At 38.1% G+C, this 24,477-nt stretch overlaps 1 long non-coding RNA gene across 1 annotated transcript in view; it reads left to right on the forward strand.

Moving 5' to 3' along the window:
• Positions 1-598: 598 nt before the first annotated feature.
• Positions 599-24,477, forward strand: part of LOC101929492 (uncharacterized) — a 126,333-nt gene continuing 102,454 nt past the window's right edge. Inside the window, exon 1 of the long non-coding RNA XR_949649.3 lies at positions 599-1,616. This is a non-coding gene — a long non-coding RNA (uncharacterized LOC101929492). The remainder of the gene's footprint in view (positions 1,617-24,477) is intronic.

Here is a 24,477-nt window from a genome sequence, read left to right on the forward strand (position 1 = left end):
ATCATTCATAACTGTGAAAAATAGAAACAAGTTAAATATCCACTGAACAGGAAATGAAGGTAAATTTTATTAGATCCATACAGAACAGCCATTTAAAATTATACTTAGAAAAAACTTTTATTGTTTGTATTGCAATGTTAAATGAAATTAATATTAATATTTAAATATATATTTAGAATTAATATAAGTAGTTAAATATATTTTGTTTATCTCCAAGTGTTGGGGGCATGTACACCCCTTGAGGAGCTCACCATTTTTCCTCCCATCCTTCCACCTCCACATCCCATGTCGACTCTTTGAGCATTCTCTATTTTCTTTCCTTTTTCTTTTTCTTTCTTTCTTTTTTTTTTTTTTGAGACAGTCTTGCTCTGTGACCCAGGCTGGAGTGCAGTGGCGTGATCTCAGATCACTGCAGCCTCCACCTCCCAGGCTCAAGCAATTCTCCTGCCTCAGCCTCTCAAGTAGCTGGGATTACAGTCATGCGCCATCATGCCCGGTTAATTTTTGTATGTTTTGTAGAGACAGGGTTTCACCATGTTGTCCAGGCTGGTCTTGAACTCCTGACCTCAGGTAATCTGCCTGCCTTGGCCTCCCAAAGTGCTGGGATTACAGGCATGAGCCACCATATCCGGCAGCCTTTTCTATTTTCAACCATGCCTCAGAAAACCTGCTTTTGTTGTTGTTGGTGTCTTTTTGTTTTAAACAAAAGTCCCTTAGATCTACCATGGGGTCATAAAAGCCCAGACCTTCAAAACAGCCCTAAGATAGATACCCTGATGAGATGGATACCTGATGAGTCCACGACTAAGAAACCAAAATACAGTCAATTTCTCAGTCAGATGCTGGTGATATATACAGATAAAAGAACTTTAAAAAATCATTTATAATCTAATAATGAAAAGATTACCAGAGCTAAAGTTTGCTGCACTGACAGCTTGGTTTTGATTGTGTTAGGAGATACACATTAGACAACCAAGTAGAAAAGTAGAGTAGACAGTCAAATATACACATGTTGAGGCCAGGACTTTAGAAATAAATGTGTGAGCCACCAGCATAGAGATGGCATGTAAAAGCATAAATGGGATGAGGGCACCCGAGGAGTGAGTATAGATAGAGAAGATAGGCATACATGTGGGTATTTTGTAGTATGTGTGCCCAAGGACCCTTTTAGAAATTTGAGCCTGCTATATAATGGGATTAGTATAATGTCCCCAAATGAAAGTAATTTCAGTAAGAATTCCAGAAAAGTTTGCAGCTTTCAATACTCTGTTAAATGGCAACCTAAAAACAAGGGAGAACCCATGGAAATTGTTACCAGGGAGACGTCAACATTCCAGGAATAAGAATGCATTGCAGGTCAGCTGGCTGAACCTCATTGTGACCTGGGAGCCCTGCATGATGAAGGGATGATGGGTGAGCTACCAAGGCTAACATTTTCCCGAGGACATTGAGTTAGGGAAGTGGCCTCTCCTTGAGGGAAGGAGCCAGATGACTTCTCAGAGAACAACAACCATATTCAAAATATTCTCAAGTTTCTTTTGTTTCTTCTTGTCTGCATCTGATATCCAGGACATTATTCCACAGGAAAAGGTTAACAGGAAATCAAGATCGGCCCGGTGAGGGAAGAAGGGAAGTGGGAACTTGACTACATGGGTTAGGAGGGGCACACACAGGTACATGGGTAGCTGAGAAAGGAATTGTACAGAAGAAAAGGTAACTTTGGTACAAGTTGATTAAAAAGGTAAGGATAGGAGTGCTGTTCAATGATGGACTGAAGACATTCCTCTTTCTGCCCTTCCCAATTCTCACTAAATTGACAGTAAAATAAGTCAAACCATAAGATTTTAGAGAAAGAGAAGAGGCAATAATGGACGGGAGATGTAAACACATTTTTCTAAGATTGAAAGCAGAACAGAGGAAGATGGAAACCCAGCGCTGGCTGATGAGAACTGAGACCTTTTCAGGATTTGGTAGCAGCCGGCTCCAGGGAGGATGAGGTGAAGTCACGGGACTAAAAGCAGAGGGGGTTACCTGAAAGTTTCTGTCATAGTTTCTGACGCCATCCCCCGTGCCCACCTCCCCACTTGAGAAGCAGCCAATCACCCTTGCCCGCCTCAGGAGTCAGAAATCATTCTCTAACTACAGAGAATTTAAAATGGAGAGGGTGTAGTTTTAGAAACGTAGATTATCTGACGCATTTGACCACACAGAAAATAGTTTTGACGAGGATTTATGAACGTGTGGGAGACCCTGAGACTTTCGAATTAGAAGAAAAAAGCAAGAGGCATTAATAATTTTTCCAAATCCCAGAAAACAGGACAAGAAAGAAATGTAATTACAAGACCTTTCTTAATGCACTCCTAATGATGGAAACACTATATCATGATTTAGTTTACAGCTGTGATAGAACTACACCGGGAGGATGGTGGAGGAGAAGAAGGCTACAGACTGGTGGAGGAGAGATGCCTCTTTTTATGATTAGTTTTACATTATTTGATTTCTTAAACTTTTTTTTTTTTTTTTTTAGATGGAGTCTGGCTCTTTTTCCCAGGCTGGATTGCAGTGGGGCGATCTCGGCTCACTGCAACCTCTGCCTCCCGGGTTCAAGCAATTCTCCTGCCTCAGGTTCCTGAGTAGCTGAGATTACAGGCACCCGCCACCATGGCTGGCTAATTTTTGTATTTTTAGTAAAGATGGGGTTTCACCATGTTGGTCAGGCTGGTCTTGAACTCTTGACCTCAGATAATCTGCCCTCCTTGGCCTCCCAAAGTGCTGGGATTACAGGTGTGAGCCACCACACCTGGCCTGTTTGTGTATTGTTGTGATAACAAATTGCACTCCAGCTGGGGCAACAGAGTGAGTCTCCATCTCAAAATAATAGTAATAATAATAAAATAAAACTTCAAAATTGTAAAGAGGGGAAAGAATTGTATACTGTCTCTAGGCTCCTCCCATGCCATCTCAGTTTCCTCAGCATCTCTGTATTTACTTAGCATTGTAGCCATTTTTAGAATCTCCCCCACCAAGTTTTGAGGAACTTCAAGATTTAAAAGTAGGTAGAAAAAGATGAGCGAATCAAAGAGGCAGAGAAGTGGTCAGACACGTAAGATGAAACCAGGAGTGTTGAAATTAAGAAGGAAATTGTCAACAGCCAAATGCTGCAGATGGGTCAAATGAGTAACTTTCTCTGTCTTAGCTTTTCCGTAAAGATTGTTTCTCCAAAGCCTCCCACATACTGCTCACCCGCTCCCATCCCAATCTCAGGCAGGTGCCACATCATGTACTTTCATGGCAGCTGTAATCACTCTATACCTGAGTATCTCTCAGCTGCCCCTACAGTTCTAAGCCTCTTAAGGGAAGGGGCCATATTCTCTATGTATTCATAGCTAAGCTTTACACAGATAATTCTTCTGTGTATTCAATTTCACATTCTGCTTTTTCTTAATACTTTTTTCTGATGAAAAAAGTAATACAGATTTAATTTTGAAATTTTAATATTATAGAAATATAAACTACAGAAGGTCAAAGTTCCCTTATCTCCCCACTACCTGCCTATGACTGTTGTTTAAAGTTTATCTTTTTCTCAGATAGTGTTAGGTAAAATACTTAGGTTAATATATTTTCATAAAAATGTTTAGTGTTTGTATATACATATGATCATTTGCAATACCTAAAATTCAGTGTTATTAAAAATTTAGAGCCAGGCACAGTGGTATATACCTGTGGACCCAGCTACTCGAGAGGCTGATACCTCTGGGAGCATCACTTGAATCCAGGAGTTCTGGTCCAGCTTGGACAATATAGTGAGACCCCCATCTCTAAAAAACAAAAAGAAGAAATTTAGGTTATATCTATTTCTTACCATTAGAAATGAAGTTAGATGGATATTTTGTGTTATAGGTTTGTTCCTATTTCTGATTCTTTAGATTCCTAGGAATGTAATTATTTGATCAAAATGTGTACTTTTAAGACTTTTAATTTATAGTACCAAATTAAAGTGGTGGATAGTGTTTTTCAAATTTTTTTATCTTTAGTGACATTTTGCCTAGTCATTTGATCAATTACTATAAGAGGTATATTAAGAAATAATGTTTTGAATTCTCCATGTATCCCTTTTTTTACTTTATTCCTTTCATGTATATTAAAGCTCTTAGGGGCATATAAGTTTACATTTGTTATATCTCCCTGATTTATTAACCCTTTTATCATTATAAAATTTCCTTTTTGGATCTAATAATATTCCTTGTCTTAAAGTTTATTTTTTCTGATATTAATATAGCCATTCTGGCTTTCTTTTGATTTGTGTTTGTATGATATTCTATCCTCTTACATTCAATTTATTTATGCCTTTGTGTTTGAAGTGTGTTTCCTGTAGACAGTAGGCAGTTAGGTCTTCCTTTTTAAAATTAATCTGTCTTTAGGGATATCTAGACCATTTACATTTGATGTGATTACTGTTACAGTTATACTTAGTTCCATCACTTTGCTATTTTTCTATTTGTCTTATCTGTCTTATGTCCTTTTGTTTTGTGTTAATCAGGTATTAATTCCTCTATTAGCTTTTTAGCATATATATATATATATGCTGTATGTGTATATATATATATATGCTGTATGTATATATATATATGCTGTATGTGTATATATATATATATATATGCTGTATGTATATATATATGGACAAACTATTAGCTATTTCCCAAGAAATGAGAAAGAGTCACACCTCAGACCATTTCTTTTTCTGAATAAAGTGGGCAACAACATGTTGTTGGAAATTCTGATTTACTCTCATATAATCCAGAGCTAGCTGGTAAAGCAGGAAATAGTATTTTCCTTCTCAATCAAGTTAATGTAGGGCCCTCCTTATGTTTTGATATTATATGTATCAAAATATCACTATGTACCCCAAGTTGTTGGCAACATTACATTGCAGTATGAGTATGCACACTGGAAATAGAAAGCAAACTCATATTTTGTGCCTTAACATCTATTTGAATTCAATTTCATATATTTACCTTTTCCACTTGATTATGGAGTCTTGCTGGGCACTCTAGACTTATGGCTTAGGGGATCAGCTAATACCCAATTCAGGATAGATAACTCCACTTGTATGTTCATTGGGTGTCCCATGTTGAAGCATTGACTCTACAAGGTCCAGTAGCCACCAAAAAGTTTTATTCAAAATAATAATTACAGCAAAATCCTCTAGGAGTACTCTACTGGGGCTTGCTACAATTTTCACACAGTATCCTGATTGTGCACCTCTGAGAACTGCTGACTTTGCTGGGTCATAAAGTTCAAATGGCGGAGTTGCATGTTCTGCAACGAACAATGAACAACAAGCCTTCTCTTGCTCTGAGCCCACTCATGTTTGACAGTCTTTTAGAATGCTCAATAAATAGGTCAGCATATCACACCCAAGTATGGGACATGTTTTTCTTAAAATTAAAGTGGGCCACAAAAATGATCGATACTCCGTTGGTGAGATTAATGTGCAGCAAATTGCCTTTCATGTTGAAAGGAATATTCTAGTATGACTCAGACCTTTGGACTCCTTAGAAACTTTACTGACCCAGCCTCTACATTGAATTTGTTTTTCTTTTTCTTTTTATAAATTTCAGTTCTAGGGTACATGTGCATAACGTGCAGGTTTGTTACATATGTATACGTGTGCCATGTTGGTGTGCTGCACCCATTAACTCGTCATTTACATTAGGTATATCTCCTAATGCTATCCCTCCCCCCTCCCCCCACCCCACGACAGGCCCCGGTGTGTGATGTTCCCTACCCTGTGTCCAAGTGCCCTCATTTTTCAATTCCCACCTATGAGTGAGAACATGCGGCGTTTGGTTTTCTGTCCTTGTGATAGTTTGCTCAGAATGATTGTTAGTTTTACAATCTACCCATCTGACAAAGGGCTAATATCCAGAATCTACAAAGAACTTAAATTTACAAGAAAAAATCAAACAACCCCATCAAAAAGTGGGCAAAGGATATGAACAGACACTTCTCAAGACATTTATGCAGCCGACAGACACATGAAAAAATGCTCATCATCACTAGCCATCAGAGAAATGCAAATCAAAACCACAATGACATACCATCTCACACCAGTTAGAATGGCAATCATTAAAAAGTCAGGAAACAACAGGTGCTAGAGAGGATGTGGAGAAATAGGAACACTTTTACACTGTTGGTGGGACTGTAAACTAGTTCAACCATTGTGGAAGACAGTGTGGCGATTCTTCAAGAATTTGTTTTTCGTCTGTTGGCATGCATCTTGATGTCTGCTACTTCCTGCTTATCAGGTTCATTTAGCAGGATACAGTAGACCAGTGCAATGTCACGTGGGATGTTGAAGCCTTTGGTTTTGGAGAGGTGAGATATCATTGTGTCAAATTTTTGAAAAGTTGTGTTTCTGACCCTACCAAATGAAAACAAAATGCTAAGAGCTAAGACATGGAATCAACCTAAATGTCCATCAATGACAGACTGGATAAAGAAAATGTGGTACATATACACCATGGAATACTGTGCAGGCATAAAAAATAATGAGATCATGACATTTGCAGGGACATGAAAGGAGCTGGAAGGCATTATCCTCAGCAAAGTAACGCAGGAACAGAAAGCCAAATATGATATGTTCTCACTTATAAGTGGGAGCTAAATGATGAGACCACATGGACATGTATTGGGGAACAACACACACTGGGGTCTATTGGAGGGTGAGGTTGGGACAAAGGAGAGGATCAGGAAAAATAACTAATGAGTACTAGGCTTAATACCTGGGTGATGAAATAATCTCTACAACAAACCCCATGACACAAGCTTACCTATGCAACAAATTCTGCACATGTACCCTTGAACTTAAAAGGTTAAAAAAAGTTTAAAAAAAAAAACTGATAAATGAGATGGATATACTAATTATCCTGATCTGTTCACCATATATATACCAAAACATCACTATGTACCCCATGAATATGTACAATTATTATTTGTCAGTTAAAAATAAATTTTAAAAAGTAAAAAAAAACCCAAAATATTTCTGGTAATTTTTGTTTCATGGGATAGAAAAAAAGCATTTACCAGGATAATATCTGCTACTAAGTAATAGGGGTTTTGTTGCCATTTATTTATTTATTTATTTATTTACTGTGATTTGATCACAATAAAGAGACCACATCTGGAAGAGCAGCTCCAATTAAAATCATCACCTAGTTGAGTTATCAATGATTTAATTCTATCTCCCAAACTCCAGTTGTCTTCTTGCATAGACCAAATGGTGATTCAAATGGTGGTATGACAGGAGTCATTAGTCCTGTATATTTCAAATTATTTATGGTAGCATTAAATTCAGAATTTTCCATGAAGATATATTACTTTTGGTTTAATATTTTGGTAGGGAGAGGGAGATATACTGGCTCTTCTTTGCATAATAATTCTTAATGTATTAGAAAGCCAATGTGGATGTTTTGTCAGCTGCTGATTGTTTATTCCAACCATATACACAGAAACTAAAAAAATATCTGAGGACTAGGTTCAGTATCCCATTGGGCCAACTGTGTGGTGGACTTAGGTTGTAACTCCTTTTGTCACGTAGTTTCCATGAACTTCCACTGTGATCTGAAGATTGCACTAAGTGTTCTAGATTCACTGGAATTAGCTTTAGGTCAGAACAAGTAGGTAAGAAGATTCAACATCATACAAATGTCAATGATGACTCACATATGTGGTCATTTGATTGGTGACCATATTGACGGTCAAAGGTTTTTCATTGCTAATAGTGTTGGTTCAACTGGTTATCAATATAGAAAAGTGTCTCTTGACTCTTGATGCACAAAAATAAATTCCAGATGAATCATAGATCTTGATAGGCTAAGTAAAACAATAAAGCTCTTAGAAAAAAATACAGACAATTTTCATCTGGGAGGGGGAAAACATTCTAAACAATTTGCCTAAGAAATCTAGGCAAAAATTTCTTAAATAGCATTCAAAATGGTACACAAAAAGATCCAATTATAAGGGGAAATTGATAAATTATTGTGTTCATCAAAATTATTAAAATGAAAAGGCAAGCTTCAGAATGGGACTTGTATTCATAATATGTAAAGAACTCCTACAAGTTAATAAGAAAAAGGTAGAATGTCCAGTAGAAAATGGATAAAAGATGTGAACCCAGAAAAGTATATCCAAGGGGTAGGAAACATATAAAATGTTGGTCACGTTTACTAGGCATCAGAGAAATGCAAATTAAAACCAGAAATTGATACAAATACACACACACACACACACACACACATACACACACACCAATTCTAGTTTTGAAAAAGTAGCTACTCTAAAAGTCAAGTGTTGTCAAGGATGGGGGTAATTGGAACTCTCATACACTGCTGATGGGAATGCAAATTAGTACAGCCACTTTGGAAATTGTTTGACAGTATTTACTAACATCGAATGTGCATATACTCTATAACCCAGTGACTGGCTTATATCCTAAAAATGCGTACATATTTCCAACCAAAGACATGCAAATAATAAAAATAATGAAAACTGATGAGCAGACATGTATGCCCCTGTGAATTCTCAGATGAGAATCCTAAACTCCTGCATTTTCATCTGTGTCTCATTACATTTTTCATTTTCATTTCATCTATTTTTTTTTTACAAATTTTTACCATTTTCATCACATTTTAAATTTCTTATTCTGGCCTGTTCTCTCCAGATAGCAGTACTCTATTATTTTATAGTAGAAAATTCAAAAATACATTTTATTGAGAATACCAAATAGTTCTCTGAAGTTTCCTGTTGGATGCTGTAGTAGATAACTTCCAGGTATTTGCTCTTCATTTGATCTTCCAGAAGGACTATATCTTTTACTGTCTTGAAATATTGTCCCCTAAAGCCTCCACATTAGTTTTTCTTTACTATTGACTGTCAAATATGCTGAATCGTTTCAAAGTCACTGTATTGCGACATAGCAGTATGTGGAGATTGTACTTGCCCCCACTGTCTGCACTTGGTTTATGGTTACATTCACCTCTAGAATCTTACATTCATGAACATGGTCCTCCTCTACCAAGGAGGCATTCAAAACCCACTGCTAAATTAATTGATATTTTGGACCAATGTGTATATGATACACTACAAGTCCCAGAATATACCGTACCACAACTGGATTTCTTTATACCCCTCCCTGCCCTGATACCTCATTTGACATAAGCATGGGATATAGCTAACAGCACTTTGAAATGCCCGCATTCATGACTATCACAATATAGCATGTAGCCAATAGCTTTCTATGTTATGGCTTTAGAAAGCTATCATTTTCTTAGCCTTCTTTACTTTTTTTTTTCTACTAGCACTAGCAGGTGGGTTTCCTTGGAGAACTATTTTTATAATCAATTTTTCCATGTTGCTTTATGGAGAAGGTGAACTGAGAACTATCAAGCTACTTTGGGATGGGAGCACTGGGCTATCAGATATGCTTGTTCATTGCTTAAAGGACTAATTTCAGTTCACCAAGTCAACATGCAGTACCAATTTGTGCTTCAGTAAATTTTTAAATTTGAGAATTTCCAGGATACTGTTTTGAAGGTAAAAATTAATTCGGTCATTTCCTTAATCACCTGCCAATCTAATTTAAGTTGCTACTTTCTCAGTGGAATCCCAAGATGATTCGGGAATAAAAGAGACTGAGGTATTTTGAAATACAAGTGTTGAAGACTAGATTCTCAGTAGAAAATTATAACCGTCTTTTATTTTAGGATCTGGTTTATTTATCTTAAGTGCTGTCTCTTTAAATCTGTTCTTCATCTCCTGCTTAGACCAAAGAATCAATCATGTTTTTTGTTCTTGACTTTTAGGGTCTGAATCTCAGCCCTCAGAGAAGACTTATTTTACATGGTTTCTTATTTTTTTCACAGTTTTTAATAGGAAAGAAAAAAAGGCATACAAATTTACTTGGTCATAGTTTTGCGTGACATGGGAGCCTTCAGAATGAAAACCAAAGAGACACAGAAAAGTGTCCATTTGAAGAAAAATTGATACAAAGTATTTTACATATCGATGGGCTACATGTTGAGTATTTGCTACATGCATAGAATGTGTAGTGACCAAGTGAGGGTGTTTGGAGTGTCCATCACCTTGAGTATTTATCATTTCTATGTGTCGATAACATAACATCTTAAGTCTTCTATTCTAGCTACTTTGAAATATACAATACACTGTTGCTAACTGTGGTCACTCTACTCTGCTATAGAATATTGGAGCTTATTTCTTCTATCTAGCTGTGTGTTTGCACCCACTAACCAGTCTCTTCAGTCCCAGCCACAAACCCTTCCTAGCCTCTGGTATCTTTCTATTCTCCATCTTCATGAGATCAGCTTTCTTTCAGCTCCCACGTGTAAGTGAGAACATGTAATAAATGTCCTTCTGTGCCTGCATTATTTCACTTAATTACCTTCAGTTTCATCCGTGTTGCTGCAAATGATATGATTTTATTTTTTATGGCAGAATAATGTTTGTGTATACATACCATATTTTTCTTATCTGTTCACCGATTGCATATATTTGCTATTGTGAATAGTGTTGGGATAAGCATAGGTGTGCAGCTATTCTTTTGATATACTGATTTCTTTTCCTTTGGATAAATACCCAGTAGTGGCATTGCTAGATAAAATGGCAGTTCTGTTTTAAAAAAATGTCCACGTTTATTCTTAGGTTCAACAAAGTATGGACAGCCATGTAGAAATGTGATTAGACAGAAAGGGTATGATCTAATACTAACATACTACTGAGGGGAACACCCAGCAAGACCTGTTTGTTTAGCTTCTTCTTGGCCCATTTCCACACACTTTTAAAGGGAATTACATGGCTAGGCCTAGATATTGTGATGAGATAAATACGTCTTCAGTGCCCTCAGATGTGTCTTCCATTATGTCTGGCATCCTTTCTTTCTTTCTCTTCCCTTCTTATGTCAAGAAGTACAGCTTGCTATTGTGGGATACCTCTAACAGTATTGAGGTGTTTTAATGGTAGAGTTTGAAGTTTTGTTCCTTGTTATGGGAGTGGCACTGTGACCATCTGCTAATAGAACTGATGCCATTTAGAACAGCTGATACTCTCCCCTTTCCTCCTGCTGGCCCAGTTCAGTATGTAGTCTCCGGATATCTAGTTTGCAGTTTCTTAAATGAGATACAATGGGTAACCTGATCTGAGTACTTCTGCTTTTTCCTTTAAAGATAAAATGATAAAAAAACTTATAAAAACTTCCAAAGAAGGAAGTACATTAAACTTTCCCATTCTCCATGCCTTAAGCCAGTGGTCAGCAAACTTTTTCTGTAAAGGGCCATATAATAAATATTTTAGGCTTTACGTATTTTACAATCTCTGCCGTAACTACTCAACTCTGCTGTGTCCTACAAAAGCAGCCATAAACAATACACCAACAAATGGATGTGGCTGAGTTCTAATAAATCTTTATTTACTAAAACAGGCAGCAGGCAGGTTGGCCCACATACTGTAGTTTGCAGACACACCTGACGTAAGCCCAAAATTCCCTATTCTTTTGGGTAGTTTTAGTTTCATCTTCCCCATGTGCTTCAGTTCCTCTAAAATGAAACACTATAAAAAAAGTGTTCCAGTGTCCAGTGATGTAACAAAATAGAACTCTGTGAAATTTTAGGCCTCTTGGGGAATAAGTTATTCTCCTGCTATCGCGCCTGAACCTTAACTTTTGAATTACTTAAAGCTATTTCTAAGGCAGCATTTCTGGTCCCGGAATATGACTTCTGGAACTAGAGAGAAGACATTCTCAAGAGGGGACAGGTGCTCCCAAATTGTACTCACCATCTGGTCAAACAGAGTGGGAATCAATTGTCTTTGAGGGCAAGGTGTGAACACCTGTTCTTTCTTTTGGATGGCAGATTTAGTATTTCAGGTAAATATCAAAAGGTGTATTTGCCCACCACTATGGAATTTAAGCCTATTTTTAAAGCATGAGCAAACACATCCTCAAGTTGGGCCATGGTCGGTTGATTTATGACTCAGGAATGCTGAATTCCCGTGTTGGAAGCGGACCAACAGTTACAATGTTCTGTGTGCTGCTGGCTGCTTCCCACACAGATAATTACCAGAGGCTAATTTACAGATGCCAGTGGGAACGTAAATGGAGTGAATGGCTGCCTGCAGAGCTAGGAATTGGATTTTATCAGGAGTCATGGAGAAGCGTGTTTGTTCTCAGAGAAAAAAGTCCAGAAAAGTGACTCGTTGAGAAACATGCCAGCAAAATGAGTTATCCAAAGGGCGGTGCAGTATTTAAAGCATTGCTTTAGAGTTAGACAACCTGGGCTAAAATCCTTATTGCCCCACTTAATAGGTAGAAACCTTGAATCAGTTACTTAACCTAACTTTCCATTCCTCACCTGCAACATCAACATAATAGTAGAATCTATCTCAAAGTTGAGATGATTAAATAAAAAAATGCACATACAGCATCTACCACCATATTTAGAAAATAGTAAATGATCAATAAAAATTAGCTATTATTATATTCTAACACTTCCAGTCTTGGGGTTATCACAAATTTTGTTCTCTATTCAACAATCAGGAATACACATTTTACCTTCCTCATTTGCTCAAGGTTATTGGAGATTTTGAGAGTCTTTGATTGCTTATCTTGTAGAGTAGAAAATGGAGATTCATGAATTTAAGTGAATTCCCCAAGGTTAGAAATGGATGGAACCAGAATTAAAACTCACCCAACTGACCTGCTTTTTAATCTAGACATTCCCAAATTTGAGCTTCTCCAGAAGCTGCACTGATCCTCTTCCACTCAGCTTACTTCTCATGTTATTCTAGCAATCTTAGCACCAAAAATTGAAGCTATAAATAGAGTGACCTTTGGCAAATTATATCCCCCAATCTCAATTTTTCATTTATAAAATAAGCAGCTTGGTATATAGAGATGATCCATGTCATTTCTTCCAATTCTAGAATGTAAACCTAAAAGATTTGTAGAGAAACTCATCACTGAGGTGAAAAACCAGAGTCATGGAAGTAGGTAGGTCATGGTTGACCAACGCCACCATCTTCATGAGGACATCGGTAATCAGAATTAAAGTCAAACTCTGGATTGTGACTATTACCAAGACCAGGTTTCTTGCACCCACAAAACATCCTTGCTGTTTGTATTTGGTGGCCAGCATGGGCTACCTCTGGAATTTGCATCATGCTGTCACAAGAAGGACCAGGGATTTTAGCATTTGAGGAAAACTTAAAGTAGGTAATAAATCAACTATGCAAATAGCAAAGTATGCAAGTCTATTAGTCTGTTCTCATGCTGCTATTAAAGACATACCTGAGACTGGATAATTTACAAACGAAAGAGGTTTAATTGACTTATAGTTCAGCATGGCTGAGAGGCCTCAGGAAACTTAAAATGATGGTGGAAGGGAAAGCAAACACCTCCTTCTTCACATGGTGGTAGCAAGGAGAAGTGCTGAGCTAGAGGGGAAAGGCCCCTTATGAAGCCATCAGCTCTTGTGAGAATTAACTATCATGAGAATAGCATGAGGGTAATTGCCTCCATGATTAAATTACCTCCCACTGGATCCCTCCCATGACACATGGGGGTTATGGGACTACAAGATGAGATTTGGGTGGGGACACAGCCAAACCATATCAGCAAGTAAGTGTCTTTTTTTCCCACTGAACTTAGGCAAATTTATTTTGCCTTGGAAATTAAGGTCACATAAGTTCTTGAATTAACAATAAAATAATATTATTTAGAATTTAATCTCTCTCTCTCTCTCACACACACACACACACACACACACACACACACACACACACACACTCTACTTATGTTGCCTGTTACGTTTCTCAATGTGCAGGACATTTAAATTGAAGTACCTCATATTTTAGGAGGAATTAAGTAATGGAGCTAAAGAGGGCTACCTAGTTTTCTATATTCTAGTATGATACTCAAAACTCTAAATTAAGATAATTTAAAAAATAGCATGGGGAAAACAATACAAATATTTAGCAAGATTATTACTATAGAGCTGTTTAGAATTGTTAATTAGATGTGGATATTGTTGATGAGTTTAAATCATAACTAAATAATTTAATAAATAAGTAGTTCTATAGCATATAAGAGTAACCAAAGTTTATATTTGGAAGAAACATTATCCTTAATATACACACTTCAAAATCAACAGAGATTTTTAGATTTAGACTTATATTTTTCTTTTTAAAAAAGATAGATAATTGTCTCAAAAGATGGGTCATTCTCTTTAATGTGAGATACACTCTTCTACAAAAGAAGATGTATGAGTAGCCTGAATTAGGCAGTTGATATTCAAGTGATAATTTTCTATGGTGGAGGCCATCACATTTAGGCTAGTGTTGTGGTTAAGAAAGTGGACTTTGGTATCAGACAGACTTGCATTTGATTTTGTTCTTTGTCCCTTACTGTGAGACCTTTGATAAAGTATTTGACCCATCTAAGCCTGTGTTTCTCCAATGTGAAATATAGAGAGTGATTGTAACTAGTATTTCATGGGTGACATTGAAAGAATTGAGATAATGACATGTAACTTGCTAGGCACAGCATTTGCCAAGTGCTTCGTGCCTTTGTTACTGGCTGCCTGGCTTCGAGAAACATCTCCAGCTTCCTCTTTACAGCAGCCTTCCTGCAGGGAGGGAAAGTGGGGCTTTGGGATGCTTCTGCCCACTTTGTCATTGATGGTCAGAAGCCAGTAAGCAGTGAGCAGGTGACTGTCATAAGCCTGCAGGTGTGGTGAGTCCTTTAAATGCACTGATCTGAGCTTTTCAGTTTTGTATTTGAAATGAGATGTTTTTCATGTGGGTGTAGAATTCGCTTCTTGGGTTTGGTGGATATTTTAAACCATCTGCATTTGCCCACTTCTTTTCAATTTGTCTCTCTGATTAATCTCAGTAGAGATATGTCTTAGACAATTATATCTGATGGAAATTATGTACTTGGAATTTTAGCGATAGAGTTCCTTATAGAGTTTCAATTTTTTGGAGAAAAAATGATTACTATCTTGAAACATTAATTAGAAGTAGTATATATTTTTGTCTGTTCATATAAAGATATCCATTCTTAAATTTTCCTTTGAAAATTTGAATTCAGTAATTATATAATATTTTTAGCTCAATTGACTAACCTATTTACTATAATGGGGATAAATTACACTTTTTAATTAATTAATTTATTAAGGCACAGTCTCGCTCTGTTGCCCAGGCTGGAGTGCAGTGGGCAGTGGCACAATCTCCACTCAATGTAGCCTCTGCCTCTTGGGTTCAAGTGATTCTCATGCCTCAGCCTCCTGAGTAGCTGGGATTACAGGCATGCACCACAACACTCAGCTAATTTTTATATTTTTAGTAGAGACAGGGTTTCACCCTGTTGGCCAGGCTGGTCTCAAACTCCTGATCCACCTGCCTTGGCTTCCCAAAGTGCTAGGACTATAGGTGTGAGCCACTGCGCCCACCCACTCTTTTTATTTTTATTTTTTATTTTATTATTTTTTTTTCAGACAGAGTCTTGCTCTGTTGCTCAGGTTAGAGTGCAGTGGCACGATCTCGGCTCACTGCAACCTCCACCTCCTGGGTTCAAGCGATTCTCCTGCCTCAGCCTCCCGAGTAGCTGAAATTAGAGGCACCGGCCACCATGCCCGGCTAATTTTTGTATTTTTAGTAGAGATGGGGTTTTACCATCTTAGCCGGGCTGGTCTCAAACTCCTGACCTCGTGATCCACCCTCCTCGGCCTCCCAAAGTGCTGGGATTACAAGTGTGAGCCACCACGCCTAGCCTCTTTTTATTCTTATAGATAAAACTTGAAATAAACTTGGAGTTCTTTAGAGTTCTTGACATAAATATATGTCATTTCACTGTACTGGGGTGGAACTCTCTTTTTTGTCAGTCAACCAACTTGACAGTTTATTCACAGATAATGACATATGCTCAATTTGCCATTTTTAAATTGTAATCATGCAATCAAGCATGTTCAGAAAAAAATCCAGTAGGCAGTGAATGCATGCTAGGTTACTTAGGCCATGGCTTTGGATAAAAGTGTTATTACTTTTGCAAACAAATGGTCCCTTTTTATTAATGTCAGTGCCACTTAACATTCTATTACCTTTTGATACATTACCTTGTGACTTTATTTTTTCCAGCTTTATTGAGGTATAACTGGTATTTAAAAAACTGCACATAATTAATTATGCCATTTGGTGAATTTGGACTATGTATACACTCATGTTGCCACCACCACAATCCAGGTGATAAACATATCTATCACCTCCAAAAGTTTCCTGGTAAATCCTCCCTTTTTTGTGTGTAAGAATACTTAACATGAGCTCTATGCTCTTAATAAAATTTTATTTTATTTTATTTTTAGTTCTGGGGTGCATGTGCAGGATGTGCAGGTTTGTTACATAGGTAAACGTGTGCCATGGTGGTTTGCTGCACCTATCAACCCATCACCTAGGTATTAAGCCCAGCATGCATTAACTATTTTTCCTAGTACTTTCCCCCCAACTCCCCTTTCCCCCAACAGGCCCCAGTGTGTGTTTTTCCCCTCCCTGTGTCCATGTGTTCTCATTGTTCAGCTCCCACTTAGAAGTAAGAACATGAGGTGTTTGGTTTTCTGTTCCTGCATTAGTTTGCTGAAGATAATGGCTTTCAGCTTCATCCATGTCCCTGCAAAGGACATGATCTCATTCCTTTTTATGGCTTCATAGTATTCCATGGTGTATATGTACCACATTTTCTTTACACAGTATATTATTGATAGGCATTTGAGTTGATTCCATGTCCTTGCTATTGTGAATAGTGCTGCAATGAACATAATGTGTGCATGTATCTTTGTAATAGAATGTCTTATATTCCCCTGGGTGTATACCCAGTAATGGAATTGCTGGGTCAGATGGTATTTCTGGTTCTAGATCTCTGAGGAATTGCCACGCTGTCTTCCACGATGGTTGAACTAATTTACATTCCCACCAATAGTGTAAAAGCGTTCTTATTTCTCCACAACCTCACCAGCATCTGTTGTTTCCTGACTTTTTAATAATGGCTGTTCTGACTGGCATGAGATGGTATCTCACTGTGGTTTTGATTTGCATTTCTCTAATGATCAGTGATGTTGAACTTTTTTTCATGTTTGTTGGCTGCATGAATGTCTTCTTTTGAGAAGTGTCTGTTCATCTCCTTTGCCCACTTTTTGATGGTGTTGTTTTTTTCTTGTAAATTTGTTTGAGTTCCTTGTGATTCTGGATATTAGACCTTTGTCAGATGGATAGATTGCAAAATTTTTTTTCCCACTCTGTAGGTTGCCTGTTCACTCTGATGATAGTTTCTTTTGCTTTACAATAGTTCTTTAGTTTGCTTAGATCCCAATTGTAAATTTTTCTTTTGTTACAATTGCTTTTGGCAATATCATCATAAAATCTTTGCCCATGACTATGTCCTGAAGGGTACTGCCTAGATTTTCTTCTAGGGTTTTTAAAAAGTTTTGGGTTTTACATGTAAGTCTTTAGTCTATCTTGAGTTAATTTTGTATAAGGTGTGAGAAAGGGGTCTAGTTTCAATTTTCTGCACATGGATAGCCAGCAAAATTTTAAGTGCACAATACCTTATTGTTAACTACAGGTACTTTGTCATACAGCAGATCTGAGGAACTTACTTATCCAGTATAACTGTAACTTTATTTATTTGTTTGTTTCTTGAGACAGAGTCTTACTCTGTTGCCCAAGCTGTAGTGCAGTGGTGTCAACACAGCTCAATGCAGCCTGGATCTTCTGGGCTCAAGTATTCTTCTTGCCTCAGCTTGCCAAGTATTTGGGACCATAGGTGTGCACCACCATGCCTGACAAGTTAAAATTTTTTTTGTAGAGATAAAGTCTCCATATGTTGCTCAGGCTGGTCCTCAATTCCTGGGCTCAAGTGATCTCCTGCCTTGGCCTCCTGAAGTGTTGGGATTACAGGCGTGAGCCAACATGTGTGGCCTAACTGTAATTTTATACCCATTGAATGACAGCTTCTCATATCCCCTTCCCCCATCTCCATGATTCTACTGTCTACTTCTTTATCTTTGATGATATTAGATATCTCCTATAAGAGGAATCATGTATTCAACCTTCCATCACTGACTTCCTTAGAATAATCCCTTCTAGGTCCATCCATGTTGTCACCAGAGGTAGGATTTCCTTTTATAAGGCTGAATAATATTCCATTGTATGGATATACCACATTTTCTTTATCTATTCATCCCTCAAATCTTGGCTATTGTGAATAATGTTGCAATAAGCATGGGAATGTAGGTATCTTTTTGAGATCCTGATTTCAATTGTTTTGGATATACCCCGAAATGGGATTGCTGGATAGTATAGTAGTTCTGTTTTTAGTTATTTGAGCATCCTTCACACTGTTTTTGATAGTGGCTGCACCATTTTATATTCCACCCAACAGTGTACAAGGGTTCCAATTTCTCTGCCACCTCACCAACACTTATTATTATTATTTTTGATAATAACCATCCTAAGAGATATGAGGTAATATCTCATTGTCTTTTTTTTTTTTTTCGAGATGGGGTCTTGCTCTGTCACCCAGGCTGGAGTACAGTGGCATGATCTCAGCTCACTGCAGCCTCCACCTCCCAGATTCAAGCGGTTCTCCTTCCTCAGACTATCAAGTAGCTGGGACTTCAGGCATGCACCACTGTACCTGGCTAATTTTTGTATTTTTAGTAGAAACAAGGTTTCACCATGTTAGCTAGGCTTGTCTCGAACTCCTGACCTCAGGTGATCTGCCTGCCTTGGTCTCCCGAAGTGCTGGGATTACAGGCATGAGCCACTGTGCCTGGCCCTCATTGTCATTTTAACTTAGATTTCCCTGATAATTAGCAATGTTGAGCATCTTTCATATACCTTTTGGTCATTTGCATGTCTTCTTTGGAGAAATGTCTATTCAAATCCTTTGCCCATTTTTAAATTTATTATTATTATTTTTGCTATTGAGTTTTAGGAATTCCTTATATATTTTGGAAATCAACCCCTTATCAGATATGTGGTTTGCAAATATTTTCCTCCATTTGGAAGGTTGCCTTATTACTCTGCTGACTGTCTCCTTTGCTGAATGGAACTCCCTTTTGATGGTAGGTGAAAACATTTCTCATTCGCTCTCAGGATGGCAAAATTGTAGACAAAATATAAAGTCATAAAAAGAAAATTATTCCAAGTTAGTTAAAATAGAAAACTGTTCACAGTTAGTACATAAAATACAAATGAGTTAATATGTGTGGAAAACTTCAAATCGTTTCTGACAAATGATTTGTGCTTAGTGTGTGCCAGGTGATATGATTATGTAATAGGCAGATGCAATTGCCAGTAACAGAATAAGGTAGGAGCGGGTCTTCCTATTTATTGAATAACATGACTTGCCTTTCAACTTGATCTTTGGTAATACTTAGCAATGGATGTTATTAGAATAAAAAAGATCAGGAGGCCTAATTTATTGTTAAGAATGCAAGAATTGGCTGGGCACAGTGGCTCACGTCTATAATCCCAGCACTTTGGGAAGCCAAGGCAGGAGGATCGCTTGAGCCCAGGAATTCAAGACCATCCTGGGAAACAGAGTGAAACCTTGTCTCTAAAAAAAAAACAAACAAAAAAAACAAACAAACAACAACAAAAAAACAAAATTAGTGGGGTGTGGTGCTATGTGCCTGTACTCTCAGCTACTTAGAAGGCTGAGGTGGGAGGATCACTTGAGCCCAGGAGGTTGAGGCTGCAGTGAGCCAAGATCATGTCACTGCACTTGAGACTGGGCGACAGGGTGAGAACCTGTCTCAAAAAAGAAAAAAAAAAAAAAGCAAGAACTACCATACTTATGTGATTTCATATTTTTTAATTGATAAAATAAGTATGCATCCTTCAATTTTTCAGAAAATTAACAACCCCCAGGGGCCCCAAAAGGACAGAAAGTATATTCTACTTACCAATATGATAGGTTGGTTTTTTTTTCAAATAAATGTAATTGCAATTGATACACTTATTGAATTCATACACTGTACATTTTTTTCATGTTTAAGGATTTTGACATTTAGGAATTACTAGAGGTTCAGGAATTTGACGTTCTATCTGGTACAAGACCAATATAAAATAGTCTGTTTCTCTACCACAACTTTGTGATTACTATTTAATTTTCAGGAAGGCAACAAAAGTTGTTGTAGTGATTCTTAACATTTAGATTGGGCTCTAGGACCAAAAGGTGCCATCACATCTGTTACCCCATTTCCACGTGAGATGGGCTGTGTGATTCTCATCTTAGCTGTGATTCAGAAGCCACTCACCTTACATTTCTGAGATCACCGCTCTTTCTACCACATCACAGCTTCTTGCAAGGTACTGTGCTTGTATTTAGATGTATCGTGGCAACACCTAAAAATAAGCAATAGCATCTAACAGACTTGTGTCATTCAGCAACTTTAGGTAAGTGTATTTTTCTGTGATTACTTTGCACTTGAGAGCACAGGGTGGATCCTTTCACTTTCTTCCCTTGAATAGTTTTATCTGAGGGTTGAAGGATGAAGGCTTAGGGACATAAAGAACAGTGCCTTCCCTCCCCGGCTTTTTACAAATAGAACTTGATTGCTCTCTTGTGGGAATATACACTGGCATTCAGGTAGACTGTGAGAAAATTAAGCAAGGAGTTGGGATCCTGTGACAGCAGCAGCACCTAGGAAGCTGGCACTGAGAAGGAAGACACTGTATTTTCTTTTTCTTTTCTTTTTTTTTTTTTTGAGACAGAGTTTCGCTTTGGTCGCCCAGGCTGGAGTGCAATGGCACAATCTTGGTTCATTGCAATCTCCACCTTCCGGGTTAAAGCAATTCTTCTGCCTCAGCCTCCTGAGTTGCTAGAAGCACAGACTGCTGTGCCCCCATGCCCGGCTAATTTTTTGTACTTTTAGTAGAGATGGGGTTTCACCAGTCTCTACTGGCCAGGCTGGTCTCAAACTCCTGACCTCAGGCTATCCACCTGCCTCGGCCTCCCAAAGTGCTGGGATTGTAGGCATGAGCAACCGCACCTGGCCAACAATATATTTTCTAATAGGATGGTCAGTAGAGAATGAAGTCTTATTTGTTTCCTCATCATGGTGCTCCTCTGCATTAGGGGAGTATATTTGTCCATTTGGACTGCTATCAGAATACCACAGACTGCTTGGCTCATAAACCACAGAAATTGATTTCTCACAGTTTTGGAGGTTGGGAAGTCCAAGATCAAGGCGCTAGCAGATTCAGTTGTCTAGTGAGGGCCTGCTTCCTGGTTTATAGACTGTTGTCTTTTCTGTGTCCTAACATGGTACAGTAGGCCAGGGAGCATTTTGGGGTCTCCTTCATGAAGGGAACCAATCCTATTCATAAAGCCTCCAACCTCATGACCTCCTAGAGGCCAGGCCCTACCTTGTGGTATCATTACATAGGGGGTTAGGATTTCAACTGAATTTTGGGGGCACAAATATTCAGGCTAGGGTAGGGAGCAACTTTGATGGAGCACTTTGTTTTTTAGTTCTTTGCAGCCCTTAGTTTTGTTTGTTTTTATTATGTATGTATTTATTTTTGAGATAGGATCTTGCTCTGTTGTCCAAGCTGGAGGGCAATGGCATGATTGTAGCTCACTGCAGCCTTGAACTCCTGGGTTCAAGCAATCCTCCCGCCTCAGCCTTGCAAGTAACTGGGACTACAGGAGTGCACCATCACACCCAGCTAATTTTTTGTGTTTTGTAGAGACAGGGTCTTGTTATGTTGCCCAGGCTGGCCTCAAATTCCTGGCATCAAGCGATCCTCCCTCCTTGGCCTCCCAAATTGTTGGGATTACAGGCATGAGCCACTGTGCCCAGCCAGTTTGTTTTGAAGCTTCTCAGTCACATACAGTAACCCATTGAGGAAAGTTAGAAGAGTTGTTTTTGGCTTCTTAGCTTCTTAACAGTGAATTAGGCCACTAGTTAATTTACTCTAATAGAGTCTTATGCTCTGTTGGAGTAAACACCTGTTTTGGTAACAGTCATTTAATGAGTTGGGTACCCTGACAACCCTGCTTTTCCCTTATTCTACTAGCTAGCACTAGTTCTTCAAAGTCACCCGTTCAGATTACCCCAGAGGCTTATCTATTCCCTTATTTTAATTTAACAAATATCTATTAAAAGCATATACATTCAGATAATTTTCCAGGCCTCATGGGACACTTATGAAGATGAACAAGTCAGTTTCTATCCCTCAAGATGCTCATAATTTACTAGGCATGCTATATACAAAGTTGTTTTACTCTAGCTCTGATGGTGTTAGGTGCTGTGATGGAAGGGCCTATGTCAGGGCTGCCAGAGAACAGTGGAAGGAGTTACTAATTTCTCACAGATAGGATAGTGAACTCCACAGGGAATGTGGCATTTGAATTAGATCTGAAGAAGATAAATGGGTTTCACCACCTGGAAGGAAGAGGAAGAGGAAGAGGAAGAGGAAAGGGAATTCTAGTTTGTGGATATAACTTGAAGAAAATTCAGAAAGATTTAGATTTTCAAGTGCATGATGTTTTAGCAATTTTTTTACATAAAGAATTAATGTTATAATATTCATTAATAGAGGGGTTATAATGTTATGCATGGTAATGATATTTGAGATCTAAGGTTGGAAAAAAGCATATGGAGAAAAGGGCTGAAAATGAAATTCTCAGTCATGTTCACAGTTGCAGAGTTGATGGAGGAGGAAATCTAGAGATAGAATCTGAGTAAGCAAGTCCTAGCAAATAGATTAGGAATCATGACAGTAAAATTGGACATTAAAATTATTGTCCCAGTTGGATAAAGAAAATATCCCAGTTGGATAAAGAAAAGAAATCTGAGGGTGGAAGGATGAAGGCTTAGGGACATAAAGAACAATGCCCTCCCTCCCTGGCTTTTTACAAATACAACTTGATTGCTCTCTTGTGGGAACATACACTGGCATTCAGGTAGACTGTGAGAAAATTAAGGAGTTGGGATGCTGTGACAACAGCAGCACCCAGGAAGCTGGCATTGAGAAGGAAGACACTGTGTTTTCTTTTTTCTTTCCCTTTTCTTCTTCTTCTTTTTTTTGGAGACAGAGTTTCGCTTTTGTCACCTAGGCTGGAGTGCAGTGGCACAATCTCAGTTCACTGCAACCTCCGCCTTCCAGGTTCAAGCGATTCTTCTGCCTCAGCCTCTTGAGTAGCTAGAACCACAGACTGCTGTGCCCCCATGCCCGGCTATATGGATATGTATATGGTACATATACACCATAACAAAGAACGACATCATGTCTTTTGCAGAAACATGGTTGGAGCTGGAGGCCACTATCCTTAGCAAACTAACTCAGGAACAGAAAGCCAAATACCACATGTTCTCACTTATAAGTGGGAGCTAAATGATGAGAAATCATGGACACAGAGGGGAACAACACACACTGGGGCCTACTTAAGGATGGAGGGTGGGAGGAGGGAGAGGATCAGAAAAAATAACTATTGGGCATAGGCTTAGTACCTGGGTGATGAAATAATCTGTACACCAAATTCCCGTGACATGAGTTTACCAGTATAACAAATCTGAACGTGTACCTTTGAACCTAAAATAAAAGTAAAAAACAAACAAACAAACAAACAAACAAAATGATGTATACTTAAAGACACCAAGATCAGGCATGAGAAGAAAATGCAGTTCCCAAACTGGATCCTGGATCTAAATTTAATCTTCTTTGGCTATAAAGGACAAAATTAAAAGAATGGGCAAAAATTAGAGTAAGGTCTATAGATAAGATGATAGTATTATAACAACAACCATGTTAATTTCCTGACTTTTATAACTGAGTTTGCTTTTAGAAAATACACATGGTTCATTTAGGAGTAAAGGAACATCATGCCTGTAACTTACTTACAAATGTCTCAGAAAAAAATATGCACATTAATAGAGAAAAGGATAAAGCAAGTAAACTCATAAGATTGAGGGAAACTACAGACAAGTAAACAAGAATTCTCTGTACTATTCCTGAAATTTTTCTGTAAGTCTGACATTTTTTCAAAAACAAAAAGTCACATTTAGCAAAATATTCAGTACTGGTGATCTGGGTAAAGGGTACACGGGAATTCTTTGCACTATTCTTGCAATATTTCTGTAAGTTTGAAATTCATTCAGAATAAAAAGAAAAAAGATACTAGTGTTCATTTATACTTTTTTTTTTTTTTTTTTGGTGACAGAGTTTCGCTCTTCTTGCCCAGGCTGGAGTGCAATGGCATGATCTCGGCTCACTGCAACCTTCACCTCCTGGGTTCAAGCAATTCTCCTGCCTCAGCCTCCCAAAGAGCTAGGATTACAGGTGCCCACCACCATGCTTGGCTAATTTTTGTATTTTTAGTAGAGATGGGGTTTTGCCATGTTGGCC

The sequence above is a fragment of the Homo sapiens genome, chromosome 8 (assembly GCF_000001405.40).
Source record: "Homo sapiens chromosome 8, GRCh38.p14 Primary Assembly".
Taxonomy (NCBI): Eukaryota; Metazoa; Chordata; class Mammalia; order Primates; family Hominidae; genus Homo; species Homo sapiens.